Raw genomic sequence first — 26,927 nt, forward strand, 5'->3', positions numbered from 1 at the left:
GGAAAGACTTTATTATTACCTTAGGGTTTTTTTTGTTCTTGCTGTTGTTGTTGTTGTTGTTGTTGTTGTTTTTTGAGACAGAGTCTCTCTCTGTTGCCCAGGCTGAAGTGCAATGGTGCGATCTCAGCTCACTGCAGCCTCTGCCACCCGAGTTCAAGCAATTCTCCTGCCTCAGCCTCCCGAGTAGTTGGGGTTACAGGCACCCACCACCACGCCTGCCTAATTTTTATATTTTTTGTAGAGATGGGGTTTTGCCATGTTGGTCAGGCTGGTCTCCCAAAGTGCTGGGATTACAGGCATGAGCCACTGTGCCCGGCCTAAGATCTTTATTTCTTAAAGGTAAATTTCTAGAAATTCTTTTTTTTTCTTTCACGGGGGACAAGTTTTTGGTTTCTCTGTATGCACAGTGATCTTTTGATGAAACTTGGTTATTTATAAAACAGCTGTCTAACGTAGTATTTATAGACTGGCTTATTATAGGGCAATACTCACAACAGTCAGCCAGGCTATCAGTTCTGGGTGCTTTATGAACATATCCTCAGATATATCTTCTCTGGACTTCTGTGTGTGTTTTTTGAATTGAAGAGATTTTTTTTCATTTCTTTTTCAAATCCTGTAATATTATGCTTTCTTTGTTTACTTCCTGTGGTATTCCAGTTTCTCTAGTAATATAATAAGCATCAACCTTCTTCTTAGCAGAAATAAACTGTTTTCTTCATTACTTCATCATTTCTTATAATGCACCATGTAGGGGAGATGGAATCTAGCCTACAGTCAGTCCTGGAGAAAGATAAAACTTTAAACACATCTTCTATTGTTCTAATTTTCTCCTGAGACAGATAATGGGAGTTTTTTGTGTGTGTGTTTTTTTTTTTTTCTGAGTCCAGTTAATATTGTGGAAAATATGAATGGGTCTAATGGACAGTCTTTAAACAAGACCTGGTTACTTTGTACAGCAACAGGAATATACATGGAATGTAAAAAGAGAGGAGACAATTGCCATAAATCCTGATGGGTGGGAAGGAATGAACAGATAACACATGTGTGAAGTCCAAAGGTCAATGGAAAACCAAAGTTTTAAATGTAGCTTGGGAAGCTCTGCTGCAATAGAACTGATTCTCTTTCTCTCAAACAGGGTATTGCTCTGTCACCCAAGCTGGATTCTCATAATCTCAGCTCACTGCAGCCTTGACCTCCTGGTGTCAAGCAATTCTCTCACCTCAGTCAGCCAAGTAGCGGGGATTACAGGCATGCACCATCACACCTGGTTAATTTTGTTTATTTTTTAAGTAGAAATGAGGTCTCACTGTGTTGCCTAGGCTGGTCTCAAACTCAAGCAATCCTTCTGCCTTGGCCTCACAAAGTGCTTTGGTTACAGATATGAGCCGCTGTGTTTGTCCTGGAATTGGTTCTTGAGAATTTGAGCTTTATTTCTCTTGTGGCCACAGAGAAAAATTTTCTACCTATGCTTATAATGTTCTTAAATCCTTAAAGGTTTCTCCTGTCCATCCAATGATTTTCCAGTGCATACACTGTTAGAGCCAAAGTCCTCTTCTTATCTTGGGAGGGCCTGCATGATCTGACTGCCCTTCCATTGCTTTTGGAGATCTGTGGCAATCTGTGCATATTTTCTGAGACCTGTATGTTATTTTTAATGTTCTGTTTGTGCCTTACGTCAAAATCGTTTGAGGAATAATGGAGAAATTGAGATTTCACTCAGAAATTCCAGAAACACCAGGGACAGATGTCATATGTTTTTATCTTTGTAATTTCCACTTAATAGAGTTTTCATATGTGATCTTAAAGAAAATCAGACTTTGACTTTTCATCATAGCACAAAGCATCTTACTAAATGTGAGAATAATTATCAATTTTATTTAAAAAATTTATATTAGAAGAAACTCAGCTTAGAAATTTAAACTCCATATGTTTAATCCCTCTAGTGTAGAATATTTTTATGTCTACTCACCTCAGGAAATTCATAAAGAAACTAATGTCAAAGAGGAACTTGGATGATTACCCAGCATATAGTAAATTTTAATTGTTACTTATTTATAATAACTTTATTTTAAAATTATGTTGGCTGGGCATGGTGGCTTACACTTGTAACCCTAGCACTTTGGGAGGCCAAGGTGGGCAGATCATCTGAGGTCGGGAGTTCGAGACCAGCCTGGCCAACATGGTGAAACCCCGTCTCTACTAAAAATACAAAAATTAGCCAGGCATTGTGGTGTGCACCTGTAATCCCAGCTACTTGGGTGGCTGAGACAGGAGAATCACTTGAACCTAGGAGATGAAGGTTGCAGTGAGCCAAGATCGTGCCACTGCACCCCAGCCTGAGCGACAGAGTGAGACTCCATCTAAAAAAAATTAACAAAAATAAAATCATGTCTTCTTTAACATAAATATTATCAGGATTATGTGCTATATTTGTTCACTTTGTAATCTGAACTATGCCAGATTTGCCTGTAATTCTAGATTTAAAAGTTCTGAAATAAAATTGTTGATTTTACATGCTTTTTTAAAAAATTATTTTACTTTAAGTTCTGGGATACATGTGCAGAATGTGCAGATTTGTTACATAGGTATACATATACCATAGTTGTTTGCTGCACTTATCAACCCATCATCTAGGTTTTCAGCCCAACGTGCATTAGGTATTTGTCCTAATGCTGTCCTTCCCCTTGCCTCCCATCCCCTGACAGGCCCCGGTGTGTGATGTTTCCCTCCCTGTGTCCATGTGTTCTCATTGTTCAGCCCCCACTTTTGAGTGAGAGCATGCAGTGTTTGGTTTTCTGTTCCTGTGTTCGTTTGCTGCTGCTGATGGCTTCCAGCTTTATCCATATCCCTGCAAAGGACATGATCCCATTCCTTTTTATGGCTGCATAATATTCCATGGTGTATATGTACCACATTGTCTTTACGTAGTCTATCATTGATGGGCATTTGGGTTGGTTCCATGTCTCTGCTATTGTAAACAGTGCTGCAATAAGCGTATGTGTGCCTGTGTCTTTATATATTCCTTTGGGTATATACCCAGTAATGGGATTGCTGGGACAAATGGTATTTCTGGTTCTAGATCTTTGAGGAATCACCACAGTGTCCTCCACCATGGTCAAATTAATATACATTTCCATCAACAGTGTAAAAAGCATTTCTATTTCTCTACAGCCTTGCCAGCATCTATTGTTTCTTGACATTTAATAATTGCCATTCTGACTGGTGTGAGATGATATCTCATTATGGTTTTGATTTGCATTTCTCTAATGATCAGTGATGTTGAGCTTTTTCTCATATGTTGGCTGCATGAATGTCTTCCTTTGAGAAGTGTCTGTTCGTATCCTTTGCTCACTTTTTGATGGGGTTGTTTTTTTCTTGTAAGTTTGTTTAAGTTCCTTGTAGATTCTGGATATTAGACCTTTGTTGGATGGGTAGATTACAGAAATTTTCTCCCATTCTGTAGGTTGCCTGTTCACTCTGATGTAGTTTCTTTTGCTGTGCAGAACCTTTTTGGTTTAATTAGATCCCATATGTCAATTTTGGCTTTTGTTGCAATTGCTTTTGGTGTTTTTGTCATGAAATCTTTGCCCATACCTATGTCCTGAATGGTATTGCCTAGGTTTTCTTCTAGCGTTTTTATGGATGTTGGTTTTACATTTAAATCTTTAATTCATCTTGTCTTAGTTTTTGTATAAGGTGTAAGGAAGGGGTCCAGTTTCAATTTTCTGGATATGGCTAGCCAGTTTTCCTAGCACCATTTATTAAATAGGGAATCCTTTCCTCGTTGTTTGTTTATGTCAGGTTTGTCAAAGATCAGATGGTTGTAGACGTGTGGTGTTATTTCTGAGGTCTCTGTTCTGTTCCATTGGTCTGTCTGTTTTGATACCAGTACCATGCTGTTTTGGTTACTGTTGCCTTATAGTATAGTTTGAGGTCAGGTAGCATGATGCCTTTCTTTTTGCTTTGGATTGTCTTGGCTATACAGGCTCTTTTTTGGTTCCATATGAAATTTTTTTTTTTTTTTGAGATAGTTTCACTCTTGTTGCCCAGGCTGGAGTGCAATGACGTGATTTTGGCTCACTATAACCTCCACCTCCTGGGTTCAAGCAATTCTCCTGCCTCAGCCTCCCAAGTAGCTGGGATTACAGGCATGTGCCACCATGCCCAGCTAATTTTGTATTTTTAGTGGAGACGGGGTTTCTCTATGTTGGTTAGACTGGTCTCAAACTCCTGACCTCAGCTGATCTGCTTGCCTTGGCCTCCCAAAGTACTGGGATTACAGGCGTGAGCCACTGTGCCTGGCCATGAAATTTAAAATATTTTTTTCTAATTCTGTGAAGAATGTTAATGGTAGTTTAATGGGAATAGCAATGAATCTATAAATAACTTTGGGCAGTATGGCCATTTTCATGATATTGATTCTTCCTATCCATGAGGATGGAATGTTTTTCTAATTGTTTGTGTCCTCTCTTATTTCCTTGAGGGGTGGTTTGTAGTTCTGCTTGAAGAGGTCCTTCACATCCCTTGTTAGCTGTATTCCTAGGTATTTTATTCCCTTTGTAGCAATTGTGAATGGGAGTGCATTCATGATTTGGCTCTCTGCTTGTCTATTATTGGTGTATAGGAATGCTTGTGATTTTTGCACATTGATTTTTGTATCCTGAGACTTTGCTGAAGTTGCTTATCAGCTTAATGAATTTTTGGGTGGAGACAATGGGGTTTTCTAAATACACAATCATGTCATCTGCAAACAGGGACAATTTGACTTTCTCTCTTCCTATTTGAATACCCTTTCTTTCTTTCTCTTGCTTGATTGCCCTGGCCAGAACTTTCAATACTATGTTGAATAGGAGTGGTGAGAGAAGACATCCTTGTCTTCTGCCAGTTTTTAAAGGGAATGCTTCCAGCTTTTGCCCATTCAGTATGATATTGGCTATGGGTTTGTCATAAATAGCTCTTATTATTTTGAGATATGTTCCATCAATACCTAGTTTATTGAGAGTTTTTTTTTTTTTTAACATGAAGGGATGTTGAATTTTATTGGAGGCCTTTACTGCATCTCTTCAGATAATCATGTGGTTTTTGTCATTGGTTCTGTTTATGTGATGGATTACGTTTATTGATTTGTGTATGTTGAACCAGCCTTGCATCTCAAGGATGAAGCTGACTTGATCGTGGCGGATAAGCTTTTTGATGTGCTACTGGATTTGGGTTGCCACTATTTTATTGAGGATTTTTGCATTGATGTTCATTGGGGATATTGGCCTGAAGTTTTCCTTTTTCACTATGTCTCTGCCAGGTTTTGGTATCAGGATGATACTGGCCTCATAAAATGAGTTAGGGAGGAGTCCCTCCTTTTCAGTTGTTTGGAATAGTTTCAGAAGAAATGGTACCAGCTCCTCTTTGTACTTTTAGTAGAATTCAGCTGTGAATTAATCTGGTCTTGAGTTTTTTTGGTTGGTAGGCTATTAATTGCTGCCTAAATTTCAGAACTTGTTATTGGTTTATTCAAGGATTTAACTTCTTCTTGGTTTAGTCTTGGGAGGGTGTATGTGTCCAGAAATTTATCAATTTCTTCTAGATTTTCAGTTTATTTGCATAGAGGTGTTTATAGTATTCTCTGATGATAGTTTGTATTTCTGTGGGATCAGCAGTGATATCCTCTTTATCATTTTTTACTGTATCTATTTGCTGCTTTTTCTTTTCTCCTTTATTAGTCCAGCTAGCGGTCTATCTATTTTGTTAATTTTTTCAAAAAAACAGCTCCTGGATTCATTGATTTATATGAAGGGCTTTTCGTGTCTCTATATCCTTCAGTTCTGCTCTGATCTTTATTTCTCGTCTTCTGCTAGCATTTGCATTTCTTTGCTTTTGCTTCTCTAGTTCTTTTAATTGTGATGTTAGGGTGTTGATTTGAGATCTTTCTTTCTTTCTTTTTTTTTTTTGAGACAGAGTCTTGCTCTTGTTCCCTAGGCTGGAGTGTAATGGTGCAATCTCGGCTCACTGCAACCTCCACCTCCCGGCTTCAAGCGATTCTCCTGCCTCAGCCTCCTGAGCAGCTGGGACTACAGGCGCCCGCCACCACGCTTAGCTAATTTTTGTATTTTTAGTAGAGATGGGGTTTCACCATGTTGGCCAGGCTGGTCTCAAACTCCTGACCTCAGGTGATCCGCCCACCTCGGCCTCCCAAAGTACAGGGATTACAGGCGTGACCCACTGCGCCCAGCCGATTTGAGATCTTTCTAGCTTTCTGATTTGGACATTTTGTGCTACAAATTTTCCTCTTAACTTCACTTTAGCTGTGTCCCAGAGATTCTGGTATGTTGTCTCTTTGTTCTCATTGGTTTCAAAGAACTTGATTTCTGCCATAATTTCATTTTTCACCCAGTAGTCCTTCAGAAGCAGGTTGTTCAATTTCCATGCAGTTGTGCGGTTTTGAGTAAGTTTCTTAATCCTGGGCTCTAATTTGATTGCACTGTGGTTATAATTTTAGTTCTTTTGCATTTGCTGAAGAATGTTTTACTTCCAGTTATGTGGTTGATTTTACAGTAAGTGCCATGTGGCACTGAGAAGAATGTATATTCTGTTGATTTGGGGTGGAGAGTTTTGTAGATGTCTGTTAGGTCCCCTTGATCCAGAGCTGAATTCAAGTTCTGAATATTCTTGTTGATCTTCTGTCTCATTGATCTAATATTGACAGTGGGGTGTTAATAACATGCTTAAGTTTATATGTCATATAAAAAGTAAATTAAATAATTTTTATTCACCCTGCACCTATTAAAATGTTCGCTTCCTATGTTTATTGCATGCAAAACATTATTAGCATTTTTCATCCACTTTTTTTACCCTTCACATAAATGATAATACAATTTATTCTTAATTGTTCCTTTAATATATGTTTCATACTGTATTTTATAATATTCATAGTGCTTCTGCACTTCGAAATAAAAGGCTTTTAGTTACTTCTTAAGGCTGGATTATAGCCTTTCCAGTTTGTGTAAGAAAAGCAGCAATATATTAATAACAAAGAAGTTTTTCTGGTATCATTTTATGCTTATTCTTTAAAATTTTTTTATCAAAGTTTTTACTAAATAATCATAATGCATTTTGGTGAAATGTTATTGCCATCACTGTGATATTAATAATTTAAAAACTGTGCTCTATTTTTGTTTGTTTGTTTTGTTTTTTGAAATGGAGTTTCTCTCTGTCACCCAGGCTGAAGTGCAGTGGTGCAATCTCGGCTCACTGCAGCCTCTGCTTCCCGGGTTCAAGTGATTCTCTTGCCTCCGCCTCCTGAGTAGCTGGGAATACAGGCATGCACCACCACACCTGGCTAATTTTTGTATTTTTAGTAGAGACAGGGTTTCACCATGTTGGCCAGGCTGGTCTTGAATTTCTGACCTTAGGTGATCCACCTGCCTTGGCCTCCTAAACTGCTGGGATTACAGATGTGAGCCACTACGCCCAGCCAAATCTGTGTGCTCTTTATGCATTACCAGTCATAGTGGAAAATTGTAGTTATCTAGAAAAATTTTTCTAGATAAAATCTTAAGTAGTACACTATTTTAATTTAGGTTTTTATAGTTTAAAGTTTCTTTTAAATTTGTTTTGCAATTTTATATTTCTGTGTTTCTAATTTCAGTGTGGGCCACCTTACATAATTTGTGTTTTAGTTTTTATTTATATATTATAGTTTTAATAGAAATATTCAACTTTGTATATTTTAAGAAAGTGTTGCTGGGCACGGTGGCTCACGCCTGTAATCCCAGCACTTTGGGAAGCTGAGGTGGGTGGATCACCTGAGGTCAGGAGCTCGAGACCAGCCTGACCAACATGGTGAAACCCCATCTCTACTAAAAATACAAAAATTAGCTAGGCTTGGGTGGCGAGCACTTGTTATCCCAGCTACTTGGGAGGCTGAGGCAGGAGAATCGCTTGAACCCGGGAGGCGGCAGAGGTTGCAGTGAACCGAGATCAAGCCATTGCACTTCAGCCTGGGTGACACAGTGAGACTTCATCTCAAAAAAAAAAAAAAAAAAAAAGGAAAAGAAAAAAAAGAAAGAAAGAAAAAGAAGGTGTTAAGAAAAAGTTAGATATGCATGTCATATGTCACTTGACTTATGTTCCTTGACTCAAATTGTCTGTTGGCAATTTAACTATCTATGTTTTTGTTTGCCTGTATAAATATCCTCTCTTTTTTTATAGTGTATTATTTTCGGTTGCTGATCAATGGTTGTTCATCCTGTCTAGGTAAGTAGTCATGAAAGTTGTCTTAGTTTCCACATCTGTTTATTGGACAATCCATATTATTTTTGTAGAAGAGAAATATTTTGTGATTCAAAGGTAATTTTTGAAAAGTTTCATAATTCTGTATCTTTTTAGTTTTTATTGTTTATTTTCAATAGTGTTCAAAACCATATAAAATTTATAATCTTAAATATTTTTAATGTGTAGTTCAGTCATGTTAAGTATAGTGACATTATCATGCAACATATCTTAGAACATTTTTATCTTCCAAACCAAAATTCAATACACGTGAAAAAACTACCCATTGTTTTTCTATTACCTAGACCTTTCCAAATATCATTTTATTTCTTGTTTATCGATATCTCTTATAAGTGGATTCAGACAATATCTGGTTTTTGTGACTACCTACTTTATTTAACATGTTAAGATTTATATTTTTTACGTTACCTTTTCTGCTTTTGAAAAGCTGAGTAATATTTTATTATTTTTATATTCCAAATTATATTTATTCATTCATTTGATGAGGAAAGTTTGGGCTTCTTTGACCTATCTCCTTTTGCAAATAATGCTGCAATAAATATGGGTATGCAAATAACTCTTGACTGCATATGGGAAGCTTTATTTCTGAGTACTCTGTTATGTTTTGTTGTTCTGGTTGTCTGCCTTTATGCTAGTATCAAACTGCTTTAGCTATTGTAGCTTCAGAATGTATTTTAAAATCAAGAATTGTAGGCTGGGCATGGTGGCTCACGCCTGTAATCCCAGCACTTTGGGAGGACAAGGGAGGTTGACCACTTGAGGCCAGAAGTTTGAGACAAGCCTGGTCAACACGGCGAAACCACACCTCTACCAAAAATCCAAAAATTAGCTGGATATAGTGGCACACGACTGTAATCCTAGCTACTCGAAAGGCTGAGGCATGAGAATCACTTGATCCTTGGAGGCAGAGGTTGCAGTGAGCTGAGATCACACCACTGTACTCCAGCCTCGGTGACAGAGTGAGACTCCATCTCAAAAAAAAAAAAAAAAGTGTGATGTCTCCAACATTGCTTTTGATTTTTGAAAATTGTTTGGCTCTTCATGGTCACTTCATATTCATATGATTTGGGGGTTGATTTTTCTATTTATGCAAAAATAAAGTGAGAATTTGAAAAGGATTGCATTGAATCTGTGGCTCACTTTAAGTAGTATATCATCTACCTAAAGACATCTTCATAATATTGTCTTCCCACCCTTAAAGAAGAGTATGCTCAAGAGTGTATTGTTTAACTTTTATATATTTGTAAATGTTTCATATGTCCTTCTCTTATTTTATTCCATTTTGGTCATAAATAATAAACAGTAAGTTTTCAATTTTTAAAAATTAGTGAAGACTTGTTTTATGACCTAACGTGTAGTATCAAGAAGAATGTTTAATGAGATATTGAGAAGGTTGTGTATTTTGTTGGGTGGAGTGTTTGCTATACATCTATTAGGTGTGATTTTACAGTGTTTCAAGTCTTCTGCTCCCTGTGTGTTTTGTACTTTAATTTTGTCAATGTTTACTTTATAAATTAAAAACCCTGATGTGAGATATAAATGTAGATATAGATATATGCTCACATAAACACACAGACAGACACAGATATACAATTGTCATAGGTTTTCAATGAATGAACTCTTTTATTAAAGTCTTTTTTGCCTCTTGTAGTTTTGAATTAAAGTATATTTTATGAAAGATGACAAATTTTGACTTAAAATGTATTTTGTCCAATTAATTGCGATCTCTTATGCTCTCATTCAGTTAACATTTGCATGAAATATCTTCTTGTTTGTTTGTTTTTGTTTTTTGAAATATCTGCCTTTTTTTTTTTTTTGAGATGGAGTCTTGCTTTTTCTCCCATACTGGAGTGTAGTGGCATGATCTCGGCTCTCTGCAACCTCCACCTCCCAGGTTCAAGCAATGCTCATGCCTCAGCCTCTCGAGTAGCTGGGATTACACACACTCACCACCACGCTCTACTAATTTTTGTATTTTTTGTAGAGACAGAGTTTTACCATGTTGGCCAGGCTGGTCTCGAACTCCTGACATCAGGTGATCCACCCACCTTGGCCTCGCAAAGTGCTGGGATTACAGGTGTGAGCCACTGAGCCCTGCCTGAAATATCTTTTTTTATACTGCCACTTTTAGTCTATTTTTGTCATTAGATCTAAAGTGAAACTGTTGTATGCAGAATATAGTTGGAGCTTTTAATGCAATTAAAAAAAATTTTTTTATAATATATGATTGTTATTTGGGAAAGTTAGTTCCTAAATATTTAAATAATATTCTGAAAGAAGATGACTTACTATTGCCATGTTATTAATTTTTTTATTTGATTATTGTAACTATTGTGTTCTCTTTTTCTTTCACTTTGTCTTCTTTGCTGTCTCATTTGTTTTCATATTGACAGATTTTAGTTCCTTTCTCATTTTTTATGGAATATCTTTCTAGGTAGTTTATTTATGTTTACCATGGACATTACATAAGACCTCTTAAAGTTACAACTATATATTTTAAACTGGAAAGATCTTCAGTTGCATCCAATTTTTTTTTTTTTTTTTGAGATGGAGTCTTGCTTCTTCACCCAGGCCGGAATGCAGTGCGATCTCAGCTCACTGCAACCTCCGCCTCCTGGGTTCAAGCAATTCTGCCTCAGCCTCCCGAGTAGCTGGCATTACAGGCACGTGCCAACACACCCAGCTAATTTTTGTATTTTTACTAGAGACTGGGTTTCACCACGTTGGCCAGGCTGGTCTTGAACTCCTGACCTCAAGTGATCTGCCCACCTTGGCCTCCCAAAGTGCGGGGATTACAGGCGTGAGCCACCGCGCCCGGCCCCAATTTTTTTTAAACTACATCTGCCCTCAACTTTGTTATTGATGTCACTAATTGTATCTTTTTATATTAACAGGTGTTTATAATTACATTTGTTCTTTTGTCTATCATGTTTATGAGTACAGTCAGTGTTTGCTGCATCATCATTTTATCACTGCACAGTTTTATATGTGTGTTACGTATATGGCTTTTCCAGAGAGTTATGTATTTTCATATGATGTGTTGTTTTCTAGCATTTTATTTTCAATGGAAGGGACTCCCTTTAGCACTTTTAGTAGGGCAGGTCTACTGGCGATGCACTTATTTATTTATTTATTTATTTATTTATTTATTTATTGAGACAGAGCCTTGCTCTGTCACCCAGGCTGGAGTGCAGTGGCACTATCTCTTCTCACTGCAAGCTCCGCCTCCTGGGTTCACACCACTCTCCTGCCTCAGCCTCCTGAGTAGCTGGGACTACAGGCTCCCGCCACCACGCCCGGCTAACTTTTTGTATTTTTAGAAGAGACGGGGTGTCACTGAGTTAGCCAGGATGGCCTCCATCTCCTGACCTCGTGATCCACCTGCCTCTGCCTCCCAAAGTGCTGGGATTACAGGCGTGAGCCACTGTGCCTGGCCAATATTTATTTATTTTGAGACTCATTTAAACCCGGGAGGCAGAGGTTGCGGTGACTCAAGATAGTGGCACTGCACTCCAGCCTAAGCGACAGAGCGAGACTCTGTCTCAAAAAAAAAGTTAAAATACAGAATTTATTTTTATGTAAGACTAAAGGAAGCAAGAGTTTGATTTTTGAAGAGTTGTAATTATATTTAAAGTTTATTGTTCAATAGCAAAGACTTGGAACCAACCCAAATGTCCATCAATGATAGACTGGATTAAGAAAATGTGGCACATATACACCATGGAATACTATGCAGCCATAAAAAAGGATGAGTTCATGTCCTTTGTAGGGACATGGATGAAGCTGGAAACCATTATTCTGAGCAAACTATCACAAGGACAGAAAACCAAACACCACATTTTCTCACTCATAGGTGGGAATTGAACAATGAGAACACTTGGACACAGGGTGGGGAACCTCACACACTGGGTCCTGTCGTGGGGTGGGGGAAGAGGGGAGGGATAGTATTAGGAGATACACCTAATGTAAATGACAAATTAACAGGTGCAGCACATCAACATGGCACATGTATACATATGTAACAAACCTGCACGTTGTGCACATGTATCATAGAACTTAAAGTATAATAATAATTTTAAAAAATAAAAAATAAAGTTTATTGTTTTACATGGAAAGAATTTTAGATTTTTTGAAATGTGAATATTAATGAGCATTTGGTTATCTTGTAATTTTTTTTTCATTTTGAAGAAGAATTTTTCTGGTTATAGTATTCTTCCTTGGAAATTTTTCTCTTTCAGGACTTTAACTGTGTTTCTCAACTTTTTTTTCTGGCCTGTAGGGACTCTGTGGATAAAACCACTGCCAATCTCATTGTAACAAACTTACAGACAACACGTTAGATTTCTTTTGCTGCTTCCAAGATTCCGTATTTGTCTATGACTCCTCTCCTCTCCTCTCCTCTCCTCTTCTCTTTTCTGACAGAATCTCATTCTGTTGCCCAAGCTGGAGTGCAGTGGTGCAATCTTGGCTCACCGCAACCTTCACTTCCCAGGTTCAAGCAATTCTCCTGCCTCAGCCTCCCGAGTAGCTGAGATTAAAGGTATTATTAGTAGAGACAGGGTTTCACCATGTTGGCTGGGCTGGTCTTGAACTCCTGACCTCAGGTGATCTGCCTGCCTCAGCCTCCCAAAGTGCTGGGATTACAGGCATGAGCCACCACACCCAGCCTATCTATGACTTTAAAATTTTTGTTTATAATCTGTCTTGTTATGAGTCACTTTGTGTTTATCCTAAAGTATGTTAAGCTTCTTGATTTTTTACAAGTGTTTTCTTTATGTTTGAGGATTTTTCAGTCATTATATCTTAATATATTCTTCAGCTCCGTAGTTTTTGTTTCTTTTTATACTTTTAATCTTTTGGCTGATATTCTCATTTTCCTGCTTTCATTTACTTGTCTGTTTTCCCATTTTATGCATTGAACATCACTCAGATAGTTATTTTGAATTTTTCAGGTAATTGGTATTTCTCCATTTCTTTAGGGTTGATATATGGATATTTATAGAGGGTTTTGAGGGCCATATTATGGTGAAACTTTGTATATGTTATAAACTTTTATTGAAATTTGTGCATTTACAAAAAGCTTTTTGTCACAGTATTTATAAAGTGGCTTTGTCATGAGGGAGTCTGATACCAGTTGACCAAGCTAGAGATTCTAGAACCCTCTCAAACTTGTTCTTCAGGATGTGTCTACCCTGGGATTGTTTGTACATTTTTTAAATTAATGAAGTTTGTCTGTGTTTCTTCTTAAGAGACTATAATCACTTGCTATACCTGTTGTTTATTTGTGATACTGACCTCTCTGTACTGCTGTGAGAATTATTTATCTTTGCTCTCAGCAGAAGCAGCCTGTCATTCAAAGTATAGCACCATTCCTTTTAGCACTTTATGTTATAGGAGACAAAAATCAGTCTTTAAAAAGTTCCCTAAAAGCTAGAAGTATGGACATCTCTGCCAGTATTTTCTTTCTCTCTTGAGGGAGAAGTCAGAAATTTACTTCTAGAGGCATCATGCTGCATTGGAGAGGAAGAAGGGTTGTAATGGGTAAATGTAATACACTTTCCTTCTTCTATTTGGCTCTTGGCATTGTGCTAACCTGTAGTGCTGCAAACTCTTAATTTTTAGAATTATTACAATGGAATTTCATTAAGTATATTCTTGTTACGTGTGTATGTATATAAAGACCTGTGGTATTTTATTATGCCATCTTGCTCAGGTACTTGGTAGAACTTTATACATTAGATGTGTAAAGCATATTCACCTGAGTCTAGTAAGTGGGATACTTTTTTTTTCTTTCTTCCAATGGTGTCTTCTATTTCACTGAAGATAAATTGCCAAAGCAAAGCAAAATACATTAATTCCAAAGTGTAATACTGAGAAGACATGGAAACTGCAATCTTCAGAATTTACATGTAAGAAAAGACTGAAAAAGTGTGGGTGAGTGTATGGGGCATGTTACAATGGACTTAACCAATGTTCATCCACTATTCATAGCAAAATCTTTCAATGTAATAAATGTGTGAAAGTCTTTAGTAAATCTTCAATAATAAATAGACATAAGACATGCTGGACATATTGGAGAGAAAGATTTTAAATGTAAAAAAAGTAACAGATTATTTTAAATGTCTTAAATTGTAAGTCAACATCAGAGAATCAATACCGGATGGAATCCCCACAAATGTAAATAATGTGCCAAAGGCTTTAATAAGTGCTCACACTTAACTGAAAATAAGGGAAGTCATATTGGAGAGAAACATTGCAAATGTAATGAATGTAGCCAAGTGGTTAAATCTTGCTCTACCCTTTCTATTATTAAGAGAATTTATGCTGAAAAGAAACCCAACGAATGTGAAAGATGTGGCAGAGTCTTTAAGTGGTCCTCATCCCTTACTCAACATAAGAGAATTCATCCTGGAGAGAAATCTATAAATGTGACAAATGTGACATAGTCACAGTCTTCAAATTTTACTAAACGTGTAATACTTTGTAGTGGAGAGAAACCCTACAAATGTGAAGAGTGTGGCCTTTAAATTGTTGCTATACTTTACTCAACGTAAGGACATTCATACTGCAGTGAAACCATATAAATGGGTAATATGTGGCAGAGCTTTTATATGGTTTTCATACCTTACTAGACATCAGATAACTCATCCTGGAGAGAAATTCTACAAATGTGAAGAATGTGGCAAAGCCTTTAATCAGAGCTCACACCTTAATGAACATAAGAACATTCATACTGGAGGGAAACCCTGAAAATGTAGAGTGGGACAAAGCCTTTAACACTCAAATCTTGCTAATCATAAGGCAACTCACACCAAATAGAAACCATACAAATGTAAAGAATGTGCCAAAGCCTTTTACCAGTTCTTACACCTTACTGTACATGAGGAAATTTAAACCTGAGAAAAATTTTACAGATGTGAAGAATGTGGCAATGTCTGTAATACCTGTTATCTTACTTGATATGGAAGAGTTCATACCGACTAGTAGTGTTATAAATGTAATTACTGTCTAAAGACATTTTACAAAATACAAGCCTTAGATTGCAAAAAGTTTTAGTGAAGAACAACATTGCAAATACAAAGACGAGTTCAATGCCTTCACTTATATCATTGATCTTCTTGTACACAGGAGAAATTATACTGGAGAGAAATCCTCAAACAGTTGCTCACACTTTATTCAACTTTAGAGAATTTGTATTGGAGACAGACACTACAAATACAATAAATGAAGAAAAGCTGTTCTAAAAATATCAGAAGACATCAGAGTGTTCACATTAAATGATGTTTTTAGAAAACAGCAAAATGTTCACATTAAATGAGATTTTTTTCAGATTCAGTAAATGTAAAAAAATAAATATAGCCAAAGTAATCATCAGATAATTCACAGTAGAAATCACTAAGGCACACACAACACTTTAGACATTAAGCAGAGTGTTGATTATAGAGATTAATCCAAAGTTAAGGCTGGGCTCGGTGACTCATGCCTGTAATCCCAGCACTTTCGGAGGCCAAGGCAGGTGGATTACTTGAGGTCAGGAGTTCAAGACCAGCCTGGCAAACATGATGAAATTCTGTCTCTACTAAAAATTAAAAAAATGTAGCCGAACCATAGTGGTGTGGCGCCTGTTCTCCCAGCTACTCGAGAGGCTGAGGCAGGAGAATCATTTAAACCCGGGAGGCGGAGGTTACGGTGACTCAAGATAGTGCCACTGCACTCCAGCCTAAGCGACAGAACAAGACTCTGTCTCAAAAAAAAGTTAAAATACATAATTTATTTTTATGTAAGACTAAAAGAAGCAAGAGTTTGATCTTTGAAGAGTTATAATTATATTTGAAGTTTATTGTTTTATATTGAAAGAATTTTAGATTTTTTGAAATGTGAATATTGATGTAATTAAACTCATCACTTGATGCTATGCCTTCATTTGTAGCATTTATTAAAAAGCATTCGATCAATTGTTGCTGCATTAAAGCTATGAGAAGTTCTTGGCATCATTCATATTCTTTTTCATGAAATATTATGGATACTGAAATTTAAGATGCATGATCTTTATTAAACACAAATGACAGAATAAGAAATATAATCATCAGATGTCATCAAATCACTGCAATGCATCAACAATTTATTAGAAATTAAACTTAGTATTGGGTCTAACTGAAAACACAATTCTTGCTGACAAACATATTGCTAATTTCAAAACACTTAATTCTCAGATGCCCTAGGAAAAAGCATAGGCAGGGGAAGTATCACTGCAAAAGTAGCACACAGAAAGACTCTGGAGGGGCTTGGTCACAAATACTGTGTTGCCAATATTAGAAAACCCTAACAATCCTAATGGAAGTTTCTCTCTCTCTCTCTCTCTTTTTTTTTTTTTTTTTAAGACAGAGTCTCACTCTGTCACCCAGGCTGGAGTGAAGTGGCTCAATTTTGGCTCACTGCAACCTCTGCCTCCCGGGTTCAATTGATTCTCCTGCCTCAGCCTCCTGAGTAGCTGGGATTACAGGCATGCGCCACCACGCCTGGCTAATTTTTGTATTTTTAGTAGAGATGGGGTTTCACCCTGTTGGTCAGGCTAGTCTCGAACTCTTGACCTCGTGATCCACCCGCCTCAGCCACCCAAAGTGCTGGGATTACAGGCGTGAGCCACCACACCCGGCCAGTTTTTTGTTTCTTTTTGTTGTTGTTGTCGATTGTTTTCTGGTCATCCCAACTAAGATATTAGTGAATAAACACTTTTTTTTTTTTTTTGAGACGGAGTCTCGCTCTGTCGCCCAGGCTGGAGTGCAGTGGGGCGATCTCGGCTCACTACAAGCTCCGCCTCCTGGGTTCACGCCATTCTCCTGCCTCAGCCTCCCGAGTAGCTGGAACTACAGGTGCCCGCCACCACGCCTGGCTAATTTTTTGTATTTTTAGTAGAGATGGGGTTTCACCGTGTTAGCCAGGATGGTCTCGATCTCCTGACCTCGTGATCTGCCCGCCTCGGCCTCCCAAAGTGCTGGGATTACAGGCGTGAGTCACCGCACCCGGCAATAAACACTTTTTTTTATCTAAAGCCTTCCAATATCCTTTGTCATCATATCCATGTGCATAACAGTAAAGAGATAATGAGAGTCATACTAACCATGTCAAATATTAAATTTGGAGAGATATTTCCAAGTTGGAAATGTACACTGAAAGTAGTTGAGGTTCTTTTCTCTCTGACATTACTATCTCTAAGTGCACAAAACAAAGACACACAGAATTAAAATGCCTTATCGAATATTAAGACGCTTATGTGATTACATAATTTTGTACTGTTTAATTTTCTTAACAATTTTATGCCCTCATTGGTCACAAATAAACAATTATTATCAATATTTTGTCTTTTGATTTCAAAGTACCCTTACTTCATACTGTCTTTCATTTTAAGAATCATAGACAATAAAAGGACACTATCCCTACTGAAATAAAACATTAACGTGTACATTTTATTAACAAAATTGAAACATACTTTTCAAATTTGTGAATATATCTTAAAAAGCAAATTGCAAATTTAAAATTTTATGAGACTGTATGAGTAAAAAATTCAGAGGTTTTTTTTTTGTTGTTGTTTTTGTTTTTAAGACAGAGACTCACTCTGTCGCCCAGGCTGGAGTGCAGTAGTGCCATCTCGGCTCACTGCAGCCTCTGCCTCCCGGGTTCCAGCGATTCTCCTGCTTCAGCCTCTTTAGTAGCTGGGATTACAGGTGTGTGCCACCATGTCCGGCTAATTTTTGTATTTTTAGTAGAGACGGGGTTTCACCATGTTGGTCAGGCTGGTCTCGAACTGTTGACCTCAGGTGATCCACCCGCCTCAGCCTCCCAAAGTGCTGGGATTACAGGCGTGAGCCACCATGCCCGGCCCAGAGTTTTTTTTAATAAAAAGGGGATGCTATCTTCTTCAATTTTTGCAGATTATTATTCTTTTATTGCTAAAAAGTGTTACCCAGCCGATTAATATGAATAATATTTTATAACTTAGTTTTGTGATGAGATATGAAATACTATAACTGAATTTATGTTTATAATTATGCTTACTATTAAAAGCTTCTATATCTGTTATTTAGTAACTAACTCCACAAAAATTTAGTAAATGCCAAATGCAGATATTTCTAGTTTATAAAAACTAGAACATTTTTGTATTAGCAATTGCTGTAACAGAATTAAACATTTTTTATGGTTATCTGCTACAAGCTAATAAATGAGAAAGGTTGAATAATAATCTTATGGTTTACTACATTTCAATTTTAGATGGTTGTAAAGAGTATAAATATACTAAAGTATTTCCAATTCTGAAAAAAAATGGGCGGGTGCTGTGGCTCACACTTGTAATCCTAGCACTTTGGGAGGCCGAGGCAGGTGGATCACCTGAGGTCAGGAGTTAAAAATACAAAAATTAGCCGGGCAAGGTGGCAAGCGCCTGTAATCCCAGCTACCCAGTAGGCTGAGGCAGGAGAATCGCTTGAACCAGGGAGGCGGAGGTGGCAGTGAGCTGAGATCACCCCATTGTACTCCAGCCTGGGCAACAAGAGCGAAAATCTGTCTCAAAAAAAAAAAGGAAGAAGAAAGAATGACTGAATTCTGAACAAGTTCCGCTATCTTTTATAATAACATTCAAAATTTTAGTTTTATATATACTGTAAATTAAAATTAGAAAAATGATAAAATGTAAAATGCAATTCTAATTCAAAGGTAATATTACAAATTCTTTCAAAATTTTTAAAATCCTTTCAAAATTTATAGCCTAATAAAATTCATGAAATTGATCTTTTAATTTGGAAACTTCTACTGCATTTAGCTATTACTCACTAAGATATATTACTGAAATTATTAGAAGGGAATTATTTTAGCATTTTATTGAGAAAATTCTACCTCATTCAATCACTTACCTGAGTCTTGAACTCTCACTTTTAATAATGCTGACAAATAGACATTTACCCAAATGAGTCCTGAAGTGAGTCTATGCATGAGGGATGAGGCCCCCAATATATACTTACAAGGAAGCCATGCCATTAGCTCATCCCCCTCCAGACCCATAATTTTAATGTAAACTCTATAAGAATGACAAGTCCTAGCTTTCTGATAATTAGAAATGGAGCCACAAAAGGAAAAACTGAACAGAATTACTGGAAAACACAATAGGAATAACTGGGTTTTAAATTATTCTGTGTGAGCTCACTTTTCCCGATAACTTTGGCCTGGTAGATTGTGTGGTCTTAGTCTTTGGCAGCAAAACCAATACCTCCCAATAACCAAAACATTACAATAAATAGAACACAATGCCAGATTTCCCAATGTATGCCCGTGGTTGAAGTGATTCAGGGTGTCTTCTACATATATTCTCCAGTGGTCTCTAGTTTTTTCACAGTCAGAATTAGACCAAAAGCACCTTTGTGGGAATTAGAAAAATGCTACCTCTATCAGACTTACATATGCAAAGTCCTCTGTCTTGCAGACAACACATCTGTAAGCCAGCGGACCAGACATGGGAGCAAAATACAGGCTGCTTTTCACCTCTTCTCTCAACTAACTTGTTGAGGTGCGTTTACTAAGAAGAGCAGAATGCCTCCATTTTAAGCTCCTTGAGTTTTGAGATAACCTGTCTTCAAGAGATCTTGGCTGGGTGCTGTGGCTCACGCCTGTAATCCCAGCAGTTTGGGAGGCTGAGGTGGACAGATCACCTGAGGTCAGAAGTTCAAGACCAGCCTGGCCAACATAGTGAAACCTATGTTGAACCTAAAAGTTAACCTTTTAGTCTCTACTAAAAATATAAAAATTAGCTGGGTGTGGTGGCGGGCGCCTGTAATCCCAGCTACTCGGGAGGCTGAGGCAGGAGAATCGCTGGAACCCAGGAGGTGGAGGTTGCAGTGAGCCGAGATTGCGCCACTGCACTCCAGCCTGGGCAACAGAGCTAGACTCCGTCTCAAAAAAATAAAATAAAATAAATAATAATAATAGCTCCTCATTTGACCTCAGTCAGAACTACTCACCTTATATACTTTTTCTTTTTCTTTGTTTTTTTTTTTTTTTTTTTTTTGAGATGGAGTTTCGCTCTTGTTGTCCAGGCTGGAGTATAGTGGCGTGACCTCGACTCACTGCAAATCCCGTCTCCCGAGTTCAAGTGGTTCTCCTGCCTCAGCCTCCCGAGTAGCTGGGATTACAGGCGCCGGCCACCACGCCTCGCTATGTTTTTGGATTTTTAGTAGAGATGAGGTTTCACCATGTTGGCCAGGCTGGTCTTAAACTCCTGACCTCAGACGATCCACCTGCCTCGGCCTCCCAAAGTGCTGGGATTGCAGGCATGAACCACCATGCCTGGCTCACCTTATATACTTTTATTGTCCACAAGTTTTATTCTCACTGCTCTCTCCAACCCAATTTAACATATTATCTTCTGCCATTGATAGGCTTTCCTATGTTAACCCAGTTGGCGTTTTTAGGTATTGATTTGTCCTCTTGAAAGGCCTTTCAAGTTTAACTGAAATTTGTTTCTAGTTTTCAAAGAAAAACTGTCATGTAAAAATCCTGTACTAAGAAAATATATTTATTAAAACTAAAGCCTTTAATAACTAAGCTCTTAGTTATTAAAACTAAAAGGCTTTAGTTAGTAAACTATATAAGCCTCAGTTATTAAGGCTTTAATTATTAAGACTAATCACTCTTGAAAGCCTTTCACGTTCAATTGAAATTTTCTTATTCCTCAAAGAAAAATTGTCATGTAAAAATCCTACATTGAGAAAATATATTTATTAAAACTAAATGTAAAATAAACACATTCCAGAGCAAAAAAACTGAGAAAATTTGGTGCTAGCCAGCCCATCTTACAGAAAATATTAAACGAAGATAAGGCTAAAATCAACTGACCACAGATAATAATTTGAATTCACATAAAATGACAGAGTATTGGTAAAGGTAATTATTACAAAAGAAAGTATAAAAGAATATTACTTTTTCGTTATTATCTTACTTCATTTCAGACAAACAATTGTATAAAAATATGAATATAGGCTGGGTGTGGTGGCTCATGCCTGTAATCCAGCACTTTGGGAGGCCAAGGCGGGCAAATCACGAGGTCAGGAGTTCGAGACCAGCCTGACCAACATGGTGAAACCCCGTCTCTACTAAAAATACAAAAATTAGCTGGGCGTGGTGGTGTGCGCCTGTAATCCCAGCTACTTGGCAGGCTGAGGCAGGAGAATCACTTGAACCTGGAAGGCTGAGGTTGCAGTGAGCTGAGATCACACCACTGCACTCCAGCGTGGGGGACAAAGCAAGACTCTGTCTCAAAAAAATAAAATCTCTTGATAATAAATTGATTCCACTGGAATAAGTAAATAAAACAACTAATAAAAGGATGATTATCAAAAAAGACGTAGATATGTAATTACCTTTTCCTTAAAATAAATAAAATTATATAAAATAAGTGTAAAAATGTGTCAAATTTATAACATGTGGATATAATAAGTGTAAAATTAATACAACAAAAATGAGAGGAACAAATAATATAGAACCAACATGTTTTGTATTTCATTAGTATTAAGTTTGTATAAATGTGAAACACATTCTAATGACATAAGATGTATATTGTGGGGCCGGGCATGGTAGCTCATGCCTGTAATTCCAGCACTTTGGGAGGCCGAGGCGGGCGGATCACCTGAGATCAGGAGTTCGAGACCAGCCTGACCAACATGGTGAAACCCGTCTCTATTAAAAATAGAAAAATTAGCTGGGCGTAGTGTTGGGTGCCTGTAATCCCAGCTACTCGGGAGGCTGAGGCAGGAGAATCGCTTGAACCCGGGAGGCAGAGGTTGCAGTGAGCCAAGATCGCACCATTGCACTCCAGCCTAGGAGACAGAGTGAGACTCCGTCTCAAAAAAAAAAAAAAAAAAGTATGTTTTAGGCTGGGTACGGTGGCTCACACCTGTAATTCCAGCACTTTGGGAGACTGAGGCAGGCGGAACACAAGGTCAACACATCGAGACCATCCTGGCCAACATGGTGAAACCCTGTCTCTACTAAAAATACAAAAATTAGCTGGGCATGGTGGCCCACGCCTGTAGTTCCAGCTACTCCAGAGGCTGTGGCAGGAGAATCACTTGAACCCCGCAGGCTGAGGTTGCAGTGAGCTGAGATCGTGCCACTGCACTCCAGCCTGGCGACAGAGCGAGACTCCATCTCTAATTGTAAGAATTAGAGAAACAACTAAGGGTATAATTCCAAAAATATGTGAAGAAAATTATGAAAGAAATTAGAATGTTACATAATAATTATGCTCTTAATGCAAAACAAAGCAGTAGAAGTAGAAAAATATAACAAAATGCATGAGATTATAGAAAAGAAAATAATATAACAAATATAAGCACAGCTATATAAATAATAACATTACATATAAAAAGATTAAACAGGGCCAGGTGCAGTGGCTCACGCCTGTAATCCCAGCACTTTGGGAGGCCAAGGCAGGCGGATCACTTGAGGTCAGGAGTTCGAGACCAGCCTGGCCAACATGGTGAAACCCCATCTCTACTAATAATACAAAAATTACCTGGGTGTGGTGCTGCACGCCTGGAGTCCCAGCTACTCAGGAGGCTGAGGCAGGAGAATCTCTTGAACCCGGGAGGTGGAGTTGCAGTGACCCAAGATCACACCAGTGCACTTCAGCCTGGGCGACACAGTGAAACTACGTCAAAAAAAAAAAAAAAATTAAACAATTAAGGAAAGCTGAGATTTAAAAAATTAAATATAGAAAAATCTAATTGAATGCTGTTCACAATACATGCACTTTGGATACAAAAGAACAAATACTATAAAAGTGAAAAGGCGGAAGCATGCAAATAGCTACCATAAGAAAGTTGTATTTGTTGGCTGGGCACGGTGGCTTATGCCTGTAATCCCAGCACTTTGGGAGGCCGAGGCTGGCGGATCATTTGAGGCCAGGAGTTTGAGACCAGCCTGGCCAACATGGTGAAACCCCGTCTCTACCAAAAGTACAAAAAAATTAATCAGGCTTGGTGGCATACGCCTGTAGTCTCAGCTACTCAGGAGGCTGAAGCAGGAGAATCGCTGGAACCCGAGAAGCAGAGGTTGCAGTGAGCCGAGATCATGCCATTTCACTCCGGCTTGGGCGACAGAGCGAGACTCTGTCTCAAAAAAAAAAAAGAAAGAAAAGAAAAAAGAAAGTTGTAGCTGTTATTTTAAAATTAGAATAAGCAGAATTTAAAACAAAAATATTTAATAGACATAAAGTAGGACATTTGATAGAGATAAAATGGATAATAAAAAAGATAATAAAAAGGATGGCATGACAATTATAAACATATATACACCAAGAAATAATCGGCAAAATACATAAAGTCAAAACCGAGAAAAATGAAGAAAAAATAGAGAATTCAACGATGATAATCGAAGACATACATATCTTTTAATAATCATTTAAAAAGCAGTAAGAAGATCAGCAAGAAAATGAAGCACTTGAAAAGAAAGGTAAAAATAACTAGACCTAGCAGACATGCTTAGTATGCCCCCAGGAAGCACCTGCAGGTTATATATTCTCCTTAAATGCATGTGGAATCTTCTCTAGGAGAGAATATACTCAATGCCATAAAAATAAAAAATGCAATTTAAGTATTTAACAAATGCAATGTGTGTTCTCTAACCAGAGTGAAAGAAAATTAGAAACTGATGATAGCTATAAATCTGTACAGATATGTAGACATTTCTCCTTGAAGGTGAAAAGAAAATTATCCTAAATAAAGTGTTTGTAAAAGTACACCCTCAGGTAAAGCAGGCTTGCTACTTTGTCAGATGTATCCATGCTTAGTCCAGCCTTAGAGAATTTTTTCTTTGCTCTATTTCTTAATAGGCTCCATGCTGAACTCAGTAATTATAGCCAAGGAACAGTAGCAAAGTTAGAAAGACCACCTTTTGAACTAAATTACGACTTCCTGAAATTTATCTTGAAATCCTTTTGTTTAAAAAAAAAATCTATGTCTGTAAAGGAAATCTCTATTTGTAAGGTGTCTGCAATACATTAAAAATATTTGGTCGAACGTTGTGGCTCATGCCTGTAATCCCAGCACTTTAGGAGGCCGAGGAGGGTGGATCACTTGAGCTCAGGAGTTTGAGACAAGGCTGGCCAACATGGTGAAACCCCATCCCTACTAAAAATACAAAAAAATAAAAAAATTAGCCAGGCATGGTGGCAGGCGCCTGTAATCCCAGCTACTTTGGAGGCCGAAGCAATAGAATTGCTTGAACCCAGGAGATGGAGGTTGCAGTGAGCCAAGATGAGGCCATTGCACTCCAGCCTGGGTGACAGAAAAAAAAAAATAGTATTGTTTTAAATTTACACAAGTCATACATTTAATATGCTTTTCTGACCATCTTCTCTTAACTAAACTTTTACTTACACTATATTTTCATTGGTCGAAAAAATAATACAACATTTTAGCCTAAATTGTTAGCTCTGTGCTTTAGAAATATACGTTTCTTGTTTCACCTAAGTTGTCCCATTAGAAACGCAAGCTTGTTGCCTAGACAAAAATTGCTTAGAGCAATGAAACAGGTAACTGGAAGTTTGATAGGCTAAATGGGAAAAATGAAAAGTATTTAAAAGCCAGCAGATGAAAATTGTTTAGAAAAGCTATAAGATCTGCTTCTATATGTTTGTCCTTATGTCTATACGTGTTATGTGTATGTGACCATACTTGGTAAATAAAGGTAGTTTTTAAATTGTTGGTTAAATATAAATGGCTTTGTAGGCCCGGTGCAGTGGCTCACACCTGTAATCTCAGCACTTTGGGAGGCCAAATCACTTGAGGTCAGGAGTTTGAGACAGACCTAGCCAACATGGTGAAACCCCGTCTCTACTAAAAATAAAAAAATTAGCTGGGTGTGGTGGTGGGTGCCTGTAGTCCCAGTGACTTGGGAGGCTGAGGCAGAGAATCACTTGAACCTGGGAGGCAGAGGTTGCAGTGAGCCAAGATCACACCACTGCACTCCAGCCTGGGCAATAACGTGAGACTCCATCTCGAGGAAAAAAAAAAGGCTTCATAATAATCATTTAAATATAATTCAATACTTGAGCAAATTTTTGGTTTTGAGCCTGTGGACTCAGGTGTCAGGTTGGGTGGCCGTGTTGAGGCCTGGCAACAAATTCTCAGTGCCTACACTGGCAGCTACCAGACAGAATCAAGCCCAATATGGCCCCTTCTTCTCTGTTCCAGCTTTGCTCCTCGCTTTTCTTTAAGAGGATGGAGGCCGGGCGCGGTGGCTCAAGCCTGTAATCCCAGCACTTTGGGAGGCCGAGGCGGGAGGATCACGAGGTCAGGAGATCGAGACCATCCTGGCTAACACGGTGAAACCCCGTCTCTACTGAAAATACAAAAAAATCAGCCAGGCGTGGTGGCCGGCGCCTGTAGTCCCAGCTATTCGGGAGGCTGAGTCACGAAAATGGCGTAAACGCGGGAGGCGGAGCTTGCAGTGAGCCGAGATCAGGCCACTGCAAAAAAAGAGGATGGATTTTTCTTCTGCCCTGTGCTCCACACTTGGTATATAAATTCACGACTTACTCAAAACCTGACTTTTATACCCATCTTGGGTGCCGCATGCTTACTTAAGAGCCAAGATGACTGCGAAATACAATGAGAATAATGCCTGTTTCATAGTTTCAAAATCCTTTTCTATAATTTAAAATATTAAAATCATATTACGGTAATTCAATAATCATCATAACATTTCTGAGTCATTTGTGTGTTAAAATACTAAAATATTGGCCGGGTGCAGTGGCTCATGCCTGTAATCCCAGCACTTTGGGAGGCCGAGGCAGGCAGATCACAAGATCAGGAGTTTGAGACCAGCCTGGCCACATGGTGAAACCCCATCTCTACTAAAAATACAAAAAAGTTAAAAAGGTAAAAACAACTAGACCTAGCAGACATGCTTAGTATGCCCCCAAGAAGCAACTGCAGATTATATATGTTACACCGTCTCAAAAAAACTAACAAACAAACAAACAAAACATACAATCCTGAGAAGAAAACTGAAACTTCGTGTACATTTCTGCTACATGGTGGGCCAGTTAAACGTTTGTACAGATATTTTACTGTAATTTTTAATGCATGTTTTCTGGTATTATAAAAGCTTTCTTATGCAAGAAGGCTGATGTTATAACAGTAGCTTAAAGGATATTAGGAAACATGTTTTCTTCACGGGACATTTCTGAAAAAGTCTCCAATGATAAGGATACTTATTTCATTAGAATAGTTGTAAAACGGTTAAATAAGGTATTATAGATCCACTAGTATTGAGCAAAGCTAAGTAAATTGATTGGATTGCTTTTGTAGTTGCAGATTGATGACAATCAGATCCACTTAGAGGGGAAAAAATGTGTTGACCCTTATAAAATAGTCATTGGAAGTCCTATGCACCTAATAATAGAACCTCATGCATCTTCTGCTACCGAAGTCTAATTATCACTAAATTCAGCAAGGCTTTAGGGCATTATGGCCAAGCATATTTTCACCAGGTAAAGAAAGCTAATAGTCTACTGACTGAGGATAGTAAAACCCTTTATACTCTAGAACCCAGAGATTGAGTCTGGTTGCCATCTGCACTGCAGCAAGACT

At 37.9% G+C, this 26,927-nt stretch overlaps 1 long non-coding RNA gene and 1 pseudogene across 2 annotated transcripts in view; both read left to right on the forward strand.

The window, feature by feature from the left end:
- LOC105375334 (uncharacterized) overlaps nucleotides 1-9,969 on the forward strand; it is an 82,449-nt gene extending 72,480 nt beyond the window's left edge. For both annotated transcript variants that reach the window (XR_001744938.2, XR_927613.3), the window contains one exon: nucleotides 8,206-9,969. This is a non-coding gene — a long non-coding RNA (uncharacterized LOC105375334). The remainder of the gene's footprint in view (nucleotides 1-8,205) is intronic.
- LOC100533634 (zinc finger protein 737 pseudogene) lies at nucleotides 14,100-15,436 on the forward strand (annotated as a pseudogene).

Source organism: Homo sapiens, chromosome 7 (genome assembly GCF_000001405.40).
Source record: "Homo sapiens chromosome 7, GRCh38.p14 Primary Assembly".
Lineage (NCBI taxonomy): Eukaryota > Metazoa > Chordata > Mammalia > Primates > Hominidae > Homo > Homo sapiens.